The 14,847-nt window shown below is 46.0% G+C and overlaps 1 protein-coding gene across 2 annotated transcripts in view, besides 4 other annotated features; it reads right to left on the bottom strand.

Moving 5' to 3' along the window:
- The window catches only part of BCL2L14 (BCL2 like 14), a 49,835-nt gene that overhangs the window by 28,988 nt on the left and 6,000 nt on the right, over positions 1-14,847 (bottom strand). The window lies entirely within an intron of this gene.
- Positions 932-1,111: a silencer, noted in NCBI's record as "fragment chr12:12222531-12222710 (GRCh37/hg19 assembly coordinates)". NCBI's record gives its function as "represses an EF-1alpha promoter that drives an FKBP-Casp9 reporter gene in an ReSE screen in K562 erythroleukemia cells {active_cell/tissue: K562}" and the evidence as "EXISTENCE:reporter gene assay evidence [ECO:0000049][PMID:32094911]".
- Positions 6,650-7,198: an enhancer, noted in NCBI's record as "OCT4-NANOG hESC enhancer chr12:12216444-12216992 (GRCh37/hg19 assembly coordinates)". NCBI's record gives its function as "activates a minimal SCP1, AML or CMV promoter by ChIP-STARR-seq in naive H9 embryonic stem cells {active_cell/tissue: H9 hESC(naive)}" and the evidence as "EXISTENCE:reporter gene assay evidence [ECO:0000049][PMID:30033119]".
- Positions 11,906-12,569: an enhancer, noted in NCBI's record as "NANOG-H3K27ac hESC enhancer chr12:12211073-12211736 (GRCh37/hg19 assembly coordinates)". NCBI's record gives its function as "activates a minimal SCP1, AML or CMV promoter by ChIP-STARR-seq in naive H9 embryonic stem cells {active_cell/tissue: H9 hESC(naive)}" and the evidence as "EXISTENCE:reporter gene assay evidence [ECO:0000049][PMID:30033119]".
- Positions 12,570-13,235: an enhancer, noted in NCBI's record as "NANOG-H3K27ac hESC enhancer chr12:12210407-12211072 (GRCh37/hg19 assembly coordinates)". NCBI's record gives its function as "activates a minimal SCP1, AML or CMV promoter by ChIP-STARR-seq in naive H9 embryonic stem cells {active_cell/tissue: H9 hESC(naive)}" and the evidence as "EXISTENCE:reporter gene assay evidence [ECO:0000049][PMID:30033119]".

The raw sequence follows: 14,847 nt of genomic DNA, 5'->3' as shown, positions 1-14,847 counted from the left end.
TGTACACATATTTAATCTTTTTTTTTTTTTTGAGACAGAGTTTCACTCTGTTGCCCAGGCTGGAGTGCAGTGGTGCGATCTTGGCGCACTGCAACCTCCGCCTCCTGGGTTCAAGCGATTCTCATATCTCAGCCTCCTGAGTTTCTGGGATTACAGGCTTGCACCAGCACGCCTGGCTAATTTTTGTATTTTTAGTAGAGACAGGGGTTTCACCATGTTGGTCTCGAACTCCTGGCCTCAGGTGGTCTGCCCTCCTCGGCCTCCCAAAGTGCTGGGATTACAGGCGTAAGCCACTGCGCCCGGCCAACATATTTAATCTTAACAACATTGAGAGGCAGGCGTTACGATTCCCATTGCACAGATGAGGAAACTGAGGCTCAGAGAGGTGAAGTATCTTGCTACGGATCCCTATCAGTTGAGCTGAGATCCAAATCGTGCTCTTTCTGGCTTTACACTCTATCATGTCACCTCTCCTATGTGACTCAAAGATTGTGTTCAAGTGGAACCACTGGAAAAGTGTTCAAAAAGGAATCTAAGCACAGCCATAGTAAAAACCACAAAAACCCACTGAAAGGCCAAATGTCATAACTTTAGAGATGGAATTCCCTATTATATGAAATAGGAAACAGTTACATCTGATTTTATGCTCTTTCCAGAGTCTTAAGTGAAATAGATATATATGGCCATGCTTGAGATCATAAACCCTGGACCGCTGGTCAAACTGTGACGATGAAGGAAGTGTGAATAGTGAAAGGGGAATTAATGCTATTTTCGTAAAAGTGGGGAAGAATGGGTCATTTAAATATTAGGCAAACAGATCCACAAGAGACAAACAGATGGTAGTTATGGGAAAGTTAGATATTTAGTAACTCGAGGTGAATTTTCACCAGCAAACTAATATTTTTTGCACCAGTGAGGTCAATGTAGAGGGTATTAAAGAAATACTAAGAATGATTTTTCTCTTTTTATAAAAACTTGCCACCTTTTTTTTTTTTTTTTTGAGACGGAGTCTTGCTCTGTCGCCCAGGCTGGAGTGCAGTGGTGCGATCTTGGCTCACTGCAAGCTCCACCTCCTGGGTTCACGCCATTCTCCTGCCTCAGCCTCCCAAGTAGCTGGGACTACAGGCGCCCGCCACCAAGCCTGGATAATTTTTTTTTTTTTTTGTATTTTTAGTAGAGACGGGGTTTCACCGTGTTAGCCAGGATGGCCTCGATCTCCTGACCTCCCGATCTGCCCGCCTCCACCTCCCAAAGTGCTGGGATTACAGGCGTGAGCCACCGCGCCTGGCCAAAAACTTGCAACCTTTTTTTGGGGGGAGACGATGAGATATATTCACTGGAAACAATTCAAGAATAAACAGGGTCTGGCTCAGTGTCTCAAGCCTGCAAGCCCAGCATTTTGGGATGCTGAGGTGAGAGGATCACTCTGAAGCCAGGAGGATCACTTGAAGACCAGCCTGGACAACACAGTGATGAGACAAGAGTTCTTCAGGACTGGTTTGCAAGGTACAGGTCACAAAGACACCACTGATAAAATGACATGTAGTAAAGCAGCAGCCCAAATCTATCAAAACCAAGATGCGATGAAAGCAACCTCCGGTCGTCCTCACAGCTCATTATATGCCAATGATAATGCACTGTTGTGCTAAAAGACACTCGCTCCTACCAGCCCCATGTCAGTTTACAAATGTTATGGCAATGTCTGGAAGTTACCCTATATTGTCTGAAATGGGAAAACCCTCAGTTCTGGGAACTCCCCACCTTTTTCCCAGAAAACTCACGAATAATTCACTTTTTGTTTAGCATATGATCAAGGAATACCCGTATACTCAATCAAACAGCCCATGCCACTGCTCTGCCTATGGAGTAGCCCCCCTTTTATTCCTTAACTTGCTTAATAACCTTGCTTTCATTTTACTTTGTTGGCTCACTCTTGAATTCCTTCTTGTGGGAAGCCAAGAACCCATGTGGCCTCCCAGACTGAACCCCAATTTTGGGATTCACGCTGTGATAGTAAGACCCCATCTCTTAATTTTTTTTTTTTTAATTAGCCAGGCATGACTCACGCATGTAGTGCTAGCTACTCAGGGGGCTGAGGTGGGAGGATCACTGGAGACCAGGTATTCAACACCAGCCAGACAACATAGCATGGTGGCACATGCCTGTAGTCCTAGCTACTTGGTAGTCTGAGACAGAAAGATTGCTTGAGCCTAGGAGTTCAAGGGGGCAGCAAGCTAGGATCATGCTATTGTAGTTTAGCCTGGGTGACAGAGTAAGACCCTGTCTCAAAACAAAAACAAAAACCCTGTCTCAAAACAAACAAACAGAAAAACAAACAATAAAACCACAAAAGCATATAAGCAATAATAAAATCACATCACATAGTATGTCCATACTGGAGTTCTGAGTTACATAACTAAACAATGTTTGTTGCTGAAACCATTTAGGATCCTGAAGAGTCTTGGTCATGCACAGTGGCTCATACCTGCAATCCCAGCGCTTTGGGAGGCTGAGGCAGGAGGACAGACTGTGTCCTGGAGTTTGAAACCAGCCTGGGCAACATGGTGATAACCCCATCACTACAAAAAAATAAAAAGTTAGCTGGGCGTGGTGGAGCACACCTGTAGTCTCAGCTACTCAGGAGACTGAGGCGGGAGGATTGCTTGAGCCTGGCAGGGGGCCGGGGGCTTGAGGCTGCAATGAGCCATGATGGCACCACTGCACTCAGCCTGGGTGACAGAGCCAGACCCTGTCTCAAAAAAAAAAAGTCCTGAAAGGTTTTGGTAAAGCAACTATTAACACAGGGAAGGGGCAAACCCCACACGGAAGCTGAGGAGAGCAACTGTCCACCTCTCATTCAACTATGTTATCTCCACGCCTAACAAGTTGGCCAGGGACAGGTCACAACACATGTTAGATATTAAACAGCAAAAGCAAAAACCACTTTTCTCCCGATTGTAAACATAGACATGCTGTTGTAGAAAACTCGTAAAACAGGGTCATAATAAGGATTGCCATAATGCAGTCATTCAGTGGGAAATGCTGCTAAAAATTTGGTGGACGTCCCTTCTTTTCTTTGAGAAAAAGGAGACACAGGACAAACTCTCTGCCCTCCCCCTCTCTATAAGGAAAGTCAGGATGATTCTTTTTTTTTCTTCAGACAGAGTCTCACTCTGTTCCCCAGGCTGGAGTGCAGTGGCACGATCTCGGCTCACTGCAACCTCTGCCTCCCGGGTTCAAGCTATTCTCCCACCTCAGTCTCCAGAGTAGTTGCAATTACAGGCATGTGCCACCACGCCTGGCTCATTTTTGTATTTTTAATAAAGACGGGGTTTCACTATGTTGGCCAGACTGGTCTCCAACTCCTGAGCTCAAGATATTTGTCTGCCTCAGCCTCCCAAAAGTGCTGGGATTACAGGTGTGAGCCACCACGTCCAGCCATCATAACTTCTAATAAACTTATTTTGTAAATAAAATTTTTTAGTGGCGACATCATTCCAGTGAATGATAGCACTAAAAATATTCATCCAGAGGAGAATCACTTGAACCCAGGAGGCAGAGGTTGCAGTGAGCTGGGATCACACCACTGCACTCCAGCCTGGGTGACAGAGCGAGACTCAGTCTCCAAAAAAATCAAAATAAAAATCAAATCAAATCAAATAATCAGCCAGCCAACTATTTTTAAATGTTTTGTTTGTCACCAGGTGCGGTGGCTCATGCTTGTAATCCCAGCACTTTGGGAGGCCAAGGCAGGTAGATCACGAGGTCAGGAGATCGAGACCATCCTGGCTAACACAGCGAAACCCCGTCTCTACTAAAAATACAAAAAATTAGCTAGACATGGTGGTGGGCGCCTGTAGTCCCAGCTACTCAGGAGGCTGAGGCAGGAGAATGGCGTGAACCCGGGAGGCGGAGCTTGCAGTGAGCCGAGATTGCGCCACTCCAGCCTGGGCGACAGAGCGAGACTCTGTCTCAAAAAAAAAAAAAAAAAATAATAATAATAATGTTTTGTTTGTCTTCAAGTGCTTACTGTTACAAATAATGCTGCAGGGTAGAGCTTTTCATCTTTGCTCACATTTTCTATTGTTTCCTGAGAAATGATGCCTGAGAGTGGAATTATTGGGTATGAATATTTTTGAAATTGTTATATATGCTTTGAATTCACTTTAATCTATGATTCTGGAATTGATTTATATCATCACTGGAAATATATCTTAGATAAAAATGCCTAAGAGTTTGAATAATATAGATAAAAAGCCCATCCTCAGGAAAACGTTGGGGTTTTTGCCCATCACTGAGTAACCAAAGAAGACTTGAAAGGCCAGATGAGCAGATTTTAGAGTGGACACCAGATTACTCTGGGGTTTGACATTTATCCTTGTTTTGATATCAATGATGAAACTCAATGAAATAGGATCAGAGTTGGAATGGAGCAATAAAAGGCTGTGACTGGTTGAAATGAAAGATTTGGGAAACGGAGCAGAGGAGAAGCACTATTCATTATGAAGAACATCTGTGAAGGGGTCAACATGCCACTCCCCAAAGTACAACACTTTAACCTTAAGATCATTTTGAGCTGAAGGCAATGAAGATGAAGCAGACACAAGAAAAACTCTCGGCCAGGTGCGGTGGCTCACGCCTGTAATTCCAACACTTTGGGAGGCCGAGGTGGGTGGATCATCTGAGGTCAGGAGTTCAAGACCAGCCTGGTCATCATGGCGAAACCCCATCTCTACTAAAAATACAAAAATTAGCTGGGCATGGTGGTGGGTGCCTGTAATCTCAGCTACTCAGGAGGCTGAGGCAGGAGAACGCTTGAACCTGGGTGGCAGAGGTTGCAGTGAGCCAAGATTGTGCCACTGCACTCCAGCCTGGGCAACAGAGCGAGACTTCGCCTCAAAAAAAAAAAAAAATAGAAACAAAGAGAAACTCTCTGCTCCCCATGTCTCCCTACCAGGGAGGACAGGAAGATTCTCAGTCGCTGGAGACAACTCTGGACTCTTAAGCAGCCCAGAGATGGCGCTGGAGGAACCTACATAACCAACCTCACTAAGGCAATCTTTATCTTCCATTACTTTTCCCATCTACTTACCTTCCCACAGTTTGCCACCTCCAGAAGCCTAAAGCTCTTTCCCTTTGTCTTGTCACTTCTTCTTCTTTTTTTTTTTTTTTGAGATGGAGTCTCACTCTGTCGCCCAGCCTGGAGTGCAGTGGTGCAATCTCTGCTCACTGCAACCTCCGCCTCCCCGGTTCAAGCGATTCTCCTGCCTCAGTCTCCAGAGTCACTTAGATTACAGGTGCACGCCATCATGCCCAGCTAATTTTTGTGTTTTTAGTAGAGACAGGGTTTCTCCATGCTGGCCAGGCTGGTCTCAAACTCCTGACTTCAAGTGATCCGCCTGCCTCGGCCTCCCAAAGTGCTGAGATTATATGCGTGAGCCACTCACTGCACCCGGCCTGTCTTGTCACTTTTTTACAAATTTATATTTTTTTAAAAGGTGCTCTATAAGCCCAATTTCTGACCACTCCTTTGAGTCACTCATCATTGAGCGATCCTGTGTGTATGCATGTGTTAATAATAAACTTCTGTCTGTTTTTCTTTTGTTAATCTATCTTTCGTCAGTCTAATTTGCAGGGCCCCAGCCAAAAAACCTAGGAGGGTAGAGGAAAAATAAATTTTCTTCTCCCCTATACCTGTAGGAAGATCCTCTTATCTGTGGTTTGAGTGAAGACAAAATAATAGAAGGATTGAAGTGATAGTGCTGTGTTGCTATAACTGGCCTGGCCAGAGATGAGATGGAGAAAGACGTTCTTAGTACAGAGATCACGCCCTGCACCAAGGCAGGAGGTAATCGTGATAGGAGATCTGACTACCATGACTTCCATGGAAGACTCCTGATAAACATAGGTCATTTCACACTTGCTGCTAATACCATCTCTTAAGTCAAAGGAAGCCACGGTGATAAACATTGTTCTATCCTTGCATTTGGCTGACAAAGAGGCACTGGTTGGTCTCATAGAAGCAATGGGAACCTTGGAGACAGAATGTTCATTTTACTGTAAAATTGGAGATGGTTGAGAGAGAATTCTGAGCCTAGTTGGGCAAAATTTTTAGAGTAAAGATAGGCATGCTGTTGTGGCCATGGCTCCAAAGAGGCCTAACAATAATAGTTCTTATTTTACTGAGTCCATGCCAATTATTAACTCAGCTGTGTAGTAGGCACGACAGTTATGCCCATTTTACATATGAAGAAACTGAGATACAAAAGAGTTAAGTAGGTGGGATATGGTAGCTCACACCTTTTGGGTGTGCTTTTGGGAAGCAGATTGCATGAGGCCAGGTGTTTGAGACTAGCCTGGGTAACATAGTGAGGCCCCATCTCTACAAAAAAAGAAAAAAAAAATCAAAAAAATTAGCCAGGTATGGTACTGCATGCCTGTAGTCCCATACTCTGGAGGCTGAGGTGGGAGGATCACTTGAGCCCAGGAGTTCAAGGCTGCAGTGATCAAACCACTGCACTCCAGCCTGGGTGACAGAACTGTCTCAAAAAACAAACAGGCCACACGTGGTGGCTCATGCCTGTAATCCCAGCACTTTGGGAGGCTGAGGCAGGTGGATTACTTGAGGTCAGTTTCATGCATGTCCATGTGAAGAGACTACTAAACAGGCTTTGTGTGAGCAACATGGGTGTTTATTTCACCTGGGTGCAGGCGGGCTGAGTCTGAAAAGAGAGTCAGCGAAGGGAGATGGGGTTTTACAGGATTTGGGTAGGTAAAGGAAGAAGGGGGGTTGTTCTCTGGCGGGCACGAGTGGGGGTCACAAGGTACTCAGTGGGGGAGCTTTTGAGCCAGGATGAGCCAGGAGAAGGAATTTCACAAGACAATGTCATCAGTTAAGGCAGGAACAGGCCATTTTCACGTCTTTTGTGGTGGAATGTCATCAGTTAAGGCAGGAACTGGCCATCTGGATGTGTACGTGCAGGTCACGGGGATATGATGGCTTAGCTTGGGCTCAGAGGCCTGACATTCCTGTCTTCTTATATTAATAAGAAAAATAAAACGAAATAGTGGTAAAGTGTTGGGACAGCGAAAATTTTTGGGGGTGGTATGGAGAGATAATGGGCGATGTTTCTCAGGGCTGCTTCGAGTGGGATTGGGGTGGCGTGGGAACCTAGAGTGGGAGAGATTAAGCTGAAGGAAGATTTTGTGGTAAGGGGTGATATTGTGGGGCTGTTAGAAGAAACATTTGTCATTTAGAATTATTGGTGATGGCCTGGATATAGTTTTGTATGAATTGAAAAACTAAACGGAATAAGAAAAGGAGAAAAACAGGTATAAAAGGTCTAAGAATTGGGAGGACCTAGGACATCTGATTAAAGAGTGCCTAAGGAGATTCAGCATAGTCCTGCCAGCAAAGATTATTTATTTACTTCAAGAGTTAAGAGTGGCAGTTTGGGGATAGCACCAGGAGATATCAGCTGTGATGGCTTGGAGAAACAGTGTAAACTGGCAGTGTAAACAAGAGCAGGGCATGTATGATTAGTTGAGAATGGTGAATAGGAGTATGACTAGACAGAAGATAGTAGGGATGACAAGTTTTTTGGGGCACAGTCTAAGTTGGTCTGCTGTCTGGAATGAGACTGGGGCCTAATAAAAAGGAGCATCTATATGGGAGCTCAAATGGGCTGTACCTTGTAGCATTCTGAGGACAGGCCTGAATTCTGAGAAGCGAAAGTGGTAAAAGTATTGTTCAGTCCTTTTTAAGTTGGTGGCTGAGCTTGGTGAGGTGTGTTTTTAAAAGACCTTTAGTCTGTTCTACTTTTCCTGAAGACTGAGGACTGTAATGGATATAAAGGTTTCACTGAATACTAAGAGCCTGAAAAACTGCTTGGCTGATTTGACTAATAAAGGCTCGTCTGTTATCAGACTGTATAGAGGTGGGAAGGCTAAACTGAGGAATTATGTCTGACTGAAGGGAAGAAATGACTGCGGTGGCCTTCTCAGACCCTGTAGGAAAGGCCTCTTCCTATCTAGTGAAAGTGTCTACCTAGACTAAGAGGTATTTTAGTTATCTGACTCAGGGCATGTTGAGTAAAGTTAATTTGCCAGTCCTGGGTGGGGGTAAATCCTCAAGCTTGATGTGTAGGGAAGGGAGGGGACCTGAATAATCCCTGAGGAGTAGTAGAATAGCAGATGGAACACTGAGAAGTTATTTCCTTGAGGATAGATTTCCACGATGGAAAGGAAATGAGAGGTTCTAAGAGGCGGGCTAGTGGCTTGTACTATAGTATAGCCTGCCTTTGCTGGTGTGTGGCAATTAGGCCTGGTGGAACCGCCATCAATAAATCAAGCGTGATCAGGGTGAGGAACAGGAAAGAAGGAAATATGGGGAAATGGGGTGAGTGTCAGGTGGATCAGAGAGATACAGTCATGGGGGTCAGGTGTGGTATCAGGAATAATGTGGGAGGCCAGATTGAAGTCCGGGCCAGGAACAATGGTAATTGTGGGACTTAACAAAGAGTGAGTACAGCTGAAGGAGCCGGGGAGCAGAAAGTATATGCATCAGGTATGAGGAAGAAAATAGATTTTGGAAGTTATGAGAAATGTAGAGAGTAAGTTGAGCATAGTTTGTGATTTTGAGGGCCTCTAAAAGTATTAGGGCGGCAGCAGCCACTGCACGGAGACATGAGGGCTAGGCTAAAACAGTAAGGTCAAGTTGTTTGCATAGAAAGGTTACAGGGTGCGGTCCTGGCTCTTGTGTAAGAATTCGGACTGCACTAACCATGCCTAGGAAGGAAAGGAGTTGTTGTTTTATAAGGGATTGAGGTTTGGGAGATTAATCGGACACGATCAGCAGGGAGAGCACGTGTGTTTTTATGAGAATTATGCTGAGATAGGTAACAGATGAGGAAGAAATTTGGGCTTGACTGAAGTAATGGGGGCTGTCTGTGAAGCCTTCCGGCAGTACAGCCCAGGTAATTTGCTGAGCCTGATGGGTGTCAGGGTCAGTCCAGGTGACAGCGAAGAGAGGCTAGGATGAAGGGTGCAAAGGAATAGTAAAGAAAGCATGTTTGAGATCCAGAACAGAATAATGGGTTGTGGAGGGACGTATTGAGGATAGGAGAGTATATGGGTTTGGCACCACGGGGTGGATAGGCAAAACAATTTGGTTGATAAGGCATAGATCCTGAACTAACTTGTAAGGCTTGTCTTGTTCTAGGACAGGTAAGATGGGGGAATTGTAAGGAGAGTTTATAGGCTTTAAAAGGCCATGCTGTAGCAGGCGAGTGACAACAGGCTTTAATCCTTTTAAAGCGTGCTGTGGGATGGGATCTTGGCATTGAGCGGAGTAAGGGTGATTAGGTTTTAATGAGATGGTAAGGGGTGTGTGATTGGTCGCCAAGGAGGGAGTAGAGGTATCTTATACTTGTGGGTTAAGGTGGGGAGATACAAGGGGAGGATGTGAAGGAGGCTTTGAACTGAGGGAAAAGGTGGTAATTAGGTGTGGCTGTAGCCCAGGAATAGTCAGGGAAGCAGATAATTTAGTTAAAGTGTCTCAGTCTAATAAGGGAACTGGGCAGGTGGGGATAACTAAAAAGGAGTGCTTAAAAGAGTATTGTCTAAGTTGGCACTAGAGTTGGGGAGTTTTAAGAGGTTTAGAAGCCTGGCCATCAATACCCACAACAGTTATGGAGGCAAGGGAAACAGGCCCTTGAAAAGAAGGTAATGTGGAGTGGGTAGCCTCCGTATTGATTAAGAAGGGGACGGGCTTACCCTCCACTGTGAGAGTTACCTAAAGCTCGGCATCTGTGATGGTCTACGGGACTTCCGAAGCTATCGGGCAGCGTCAGTCTTCAGCCGCTAAGCTGAGAAGGAGTCAGTCAGAGAGCCTTCGGCCAGAGTTCCAGGGGCTCTGGGAGTGGCTGCCAGGTGAGTTGAACAGTCTGATTTCCAGTGGGGTCCCGCACAGATGGGACACGGCTTAGGAGGAATCCTGGGCTGCAGGCATTCCTTGGCCTGGTGGTCAGATTTCTGGCACTTGTAGCAAGCTCCTCGGGGAGGAGGTTCTGGAGGAACGCCTGGACGCTGAGGTTTAGGCCTTTGGAAGTTCTTGTGTGCTGGAGATGTGGCTGGGGTTTGTCTCACAGTGAAGGCAAGGAATTGCAACTTTTTTCTATTATTGTACACCTTGAAGGCGAGGTTAATTAAATCCTGTTGTGGGGTTTGAGGGCCGGAATTTAATTTTTGGAGTTTTATTTAATGTCGGGAGCAGATTGGGTAATAAAATGTATTTTGAGAATAAGACGGCCTTTTGACCTTTTAGGGTCTAGGGCTGTAAAGTGTCTCAGGGTTGCTGCCGAACGAGCCATGAACTGGGCTGGGTTTTTTATATTTGATGAAAAAGAGCCTAAACGCTATCTGATTTGGGATAAAGAAAAAGGAGCATTAACTTTAATTTAGCTCCAGCCACCTTTTCAAGAGTAAATTGCTGGGCAGGAGGGGGAGGGCTAGTCATGGAACGAAACTGTAAGCCGGACCGGGTGTGAGGAGGGGAGGTGATAAAAGGATTATAGGGTGGAGGAGCAGAGGCTGAGGAAGAATTGCGACCTAGCTCGGCCTGGCGAGGAGGAGAGAGGTCAGATGGGTCTGTAGAAAAGGAAGATTAGAAAGACTCGGCGACGCTTGGGGTTGGGACTGAGGGGACAGGTGGGAGGGAAAGAAGGAAGATTTGTGATGAGTTGCATTGGGAACAGAGACTAGAGAGGGACGGATGTGTAAAAGAATGCCTGGACATCAGGCATCTCAGACCATTTGCCTATTTTACGACAAGCATTATTTAGATCTTGTAGGATGGAAAAATTGAAAGTGCTGTTTTCTGGCTATTTGGAACTACTGTGGAGTTTGTATTGGGGTCAAGCGGCATTGCAGAAGAAAATAAGACACTTAGATTTTAGGTCAGGTGAGAGTTGAAGAGGTTTTAAGTTCTTAAGAACACAGGCTAAGGAAGAAGAAGGAGGAATGGAAGGTGGAAGCTTGCCTATAGTGAAGGAGGCAAGCCCAGAGAAAAGAGTAGAGACACGGAGAAGGGGTAGGGGGTTCTTGCCCTCCAGAAAAGCAGAGAAGGGGTCAGGCACAGAGATAGGAGGTTGGGGCATGGAAATAAGGGATGGGGTGCAGAGATATAAGAGGTTGGGGCATGGAAATAAGGGATCGGGGAGCAGAGATATGAGGTTGGGGTGCAGAAATAAGGGATTGGGGCACAGAGATATGAGGTCAGGGTGCAGAAATAAGGGATTGGGGTGCAGAGATATGAGGTTGGGGTACTTGCCTCTCCTCCAGAAAAGCCGGACTTGCCGCTAAGGGTGAAGGATAAGGGGTTGGGGGTTTCTTGCACCCCAGAAAGGTGGAGAAGGGGTAGAGACACGGAGAGAAGGGGTTGGGGTACTTGCCCCTCCCCCAGAAAAGCGGGACTTGCCGCTAAGGGTGAAGGACCAAGGCAGGCGTCCCTGTGTGGTCTGACACCTCTGAAACGTGGGGGAATAATCAGAGAGGTGTCCTTGCAATGATTAAACACTAAGGGAAGGCTGCATTCCCAGTCCGTGACCGGCACCGGAGTTTTGGGTCTACGGATAAAACGTGTCTCCTTTGTCTCTACCAGAAAATGAAAGGAACTGAAATTAAAAGAAGGGAGAGATTGAAGTGTGGCGCCAAGATTGAAAGGAGAAAGAGGCTGAGGGTTAGGGAGGTTGGAGAAGAGAGTAAAAAGAGGCCGCTTACTGGATTTGAAATTGGTGAGATGTTTCTTGGGCTGCTTGGTCTGAGAACCTGAGGTCATAGGTGGATCTTTCTCACGGAGCAAAGAGTGGGAGGACAGGGGATTGATCTCCCAAGGGAGGTCCCCCATCTGAGTCATGGCACCAAATTTCATGCGCGTCGGTGTGAAGAGACCACCAAACAGGCTTTGTGTGAGCAACATGGCTGTTTATTTCACCTGGGTGCAGGCGGGCTGAGTCCGAAAAGAGAGTCAGTGAAGGGAGATGGGGTGGGGCTGTTTTATAGGATTTGGGTAGGTAAAGGAAAAAGGGGGGTTCTCTGGCGGGCAGGAGTGGGGGTCACAAGGTACTCAGTGGGGGAGCTTTTGAGCCAGGATGAGCCAGGAGAAGGAATTTCACAAGACAATGTCATCAGTTAAGGCAGGAACAGGCCATTTTCACTTCTTTTGTGGTAGAATGTTACAGAACAGCCTGGCCAACCCCGTCTGAAACCCCGTCTCTACTAAATATACAAAATTAGCCAAGTGTGGTGGCACATGACTGTAATCCCAGCTACTCGGGAGGCTGAGGCAGGAGAATCGCTTGAACCCGGGAAGCGGAGGTTGCAGTGAGCCGACATCATGCCACTGCACTCTAGCCTGGGCAACAGAGACTCCGTCTCAAAAAAAAGAAAAAAAAAAGAGTCTGGGCACAATGACTCACGCCTGTAATCCCAGCACTTTGGGAGGCCGAGGCGGGCAGATCACCTGAGGTCAAGAGTTGGAGAACAGCCTGGCCAACATGGTGAAACCTCGTCGCTACTAAAAACACAAAAAAATTTAGCTGGGCGTGGTGGCACACACCTGTAGTCCCAGCTACTCGGGGAGGCCGAGGCAAAAGAATTGCTTGAACACAGGAGGGGGAGGTTGCAGTGAGCCAAGATGGAGCCACTGTACTCCTCCAGCCTGGGCAACAGAGACTCCATCTCAAAAAAAAAAAAAAAAAAAGACAAACACACAAAAGACTTAAGTAAAATTTCCCAGGGTCACACGAGCACATGAGGCAAAGCTGGAATTTGAGGGAGCCCAGGCACTGTCTTTAAGGCCCATGACGCTAACCACTAAACCTGACCATCTTCTTCACATGGTTCAGATGCAGCCCAGTTTGTTGATGTTCTTCACTTCTTTTTTTTTTTTTTTAATGGAGTTTTGCTCTTATTGCCCAGGCTGGAGTGCAGTGGTGCGATCTCGGCTCACTGCAACATCCGCCTCCCAGGTTCAAGCAATTCTTCTGCCTCAGCCTCCCTAGTAGCTGGGATTACAGGCATGTGTCACCACACCCAGCTAATTTTGTATTTTTAGTAGAGAAGGGGTTTCTCCATGTTGGTCAGGCTGGTCTCGAACTCCCGACCTCAGGTGATCCACCCGCCTCGGCCTCCCAAAGTGCTGGGATTACAGGCGTGAGCCACCGAGCCCGGCTCTCTTCACCTCTTTTCTGGAGTTGCTATTACTGCTTTTTGACTTTGGCGTAGGGAAAAATGGAAAGATTTGCAATGGGCAAAGAGATTACTGGATATCCTTTCAATGGAATGTTAGAGCCTTTGGGGATTATCTGATTTTATAGAGATATGCTTATTTATTTGCTTTTGATTATGCTATTTTACAACTCCTTAGAAAGAAGTTAACATATAGAAAACTGATCGTAATGCAAATAATTCCTTGCATATTATAATGCAAATAGTCTCCCGTGGAATGCCTTTGTTTATTGTCCTGTAGATATTAACCAGTTTTTCCAGTTTTGCCTGTTTGTAAATTTATTTCGGTATTTCTTATCTGACTATAAATGTGTGGTAGTTGGAGTTTTCTCCTTTGAGCTGGTTTTAATATTTTGCTGGCTCCAGTTAAATTAGTTAAATAAAATATTTGCCACATGTTCTTTTATATCATGTGAGAGTCATGATTTTCCCCTTAAGAAATAATCTTTAACGTTGGTTAAATCACTTAAATTATCTGGACCTCAGGTCCCCTTCAGTCTCTTTGATTGCATGCTTAATTGATTGAGATGCATCTAGCTAGAGATCTCTAGGTTCTGTTATTGATTGTGTTTTGTTTTTGTTTTGAGATGGAGTTTCGCTCTTGTCGTCCAGGCTGGAGTGCAGTGGCGCAATCTCGGCTCACTGCAACCTCCGAGGCCTTCCAGGTTTAAGCGATTTTCCTGCCTCAGCCTCCTGAGTAGCTGGGATTACAGGCGCCTACCACCACGCCCAGCTAACTTTTGTATTTTAGTAGAGATGGGGTTTCACCATGTTGGTCAGGCTGGTCTCGAACTCCTGACCTCAGTTGATCCGCCCACCTTGGCCTCCCAAAGTGCTGGGATTACGAGTGAGCGTGAGCCACCGTGCCCAGCCTATTAACTGTGTTTTAATCAATGGCTCAGTTATTTACAGATAACACAGGTAACAATAGAGCACAGTATTTAGGGCTCAGGCTCCTCAGGCACAGTCTTGGAGTCAAATTCTGATTCTGCTTCTTACTATAGATGAGGGGTTTAGGGAGTGATCGGGAGAAAGAAGCAAAAAGGATACTTGATTGCCAGGCTAAAAAGGAAGCTCTTGGATAAGCTCTCACTTTAAATGTATACAAATAGTGCCCACAGGAGATGTTAAGGAAAAATTTACTCTTGACCCTTGTTAAAAGGGTAAGGCAGATTTTATCCGGGACTATCGCAGTTGGTGTAGGGACGGACCACTGCAATAGGGTCTTGTGGTCAGGGAGAGAAACTGGGCTCAACTCTGAATGCAGCAGAGGCAAATGGGGATTTGTAACCAAGGAATAAGGTGGGGTCAGTGGGTGGAAAATTACTAAGGGGAAACATTGGGAGTCAGGGGATTCTGGCTAAGTTGACCTAGTGTGATTTTTGCTGAAGACCAGGCAGGGTGATCAGACATCGCCTCGGGGATGATGAGGGATGAGGAATTTGATCAGATTTTGAGGGTGATCAGACATTGGGGGTGGGGGCATGCCCAAGGATGGGGCCTGATTGGGCTCAGAGGAACCTGACTAAAGTTTGGTCAAGGACACAGTCTTTGTCAGTG

This window comes from Homo sapiens, chromosome 12 (assembly GCF_000001405.40).
Source record: "Homo sapiens chromosome 12, GRCh38.p14 Primary Assembly".
NCBI lineage: Eukaryota > Metazoa > Chordata > Mammalia > Primates > Hominidae > Homo > Homo sapiens.
This window is presented reverse-complemented; position numbering and strand designations above follow the sequence as displayed.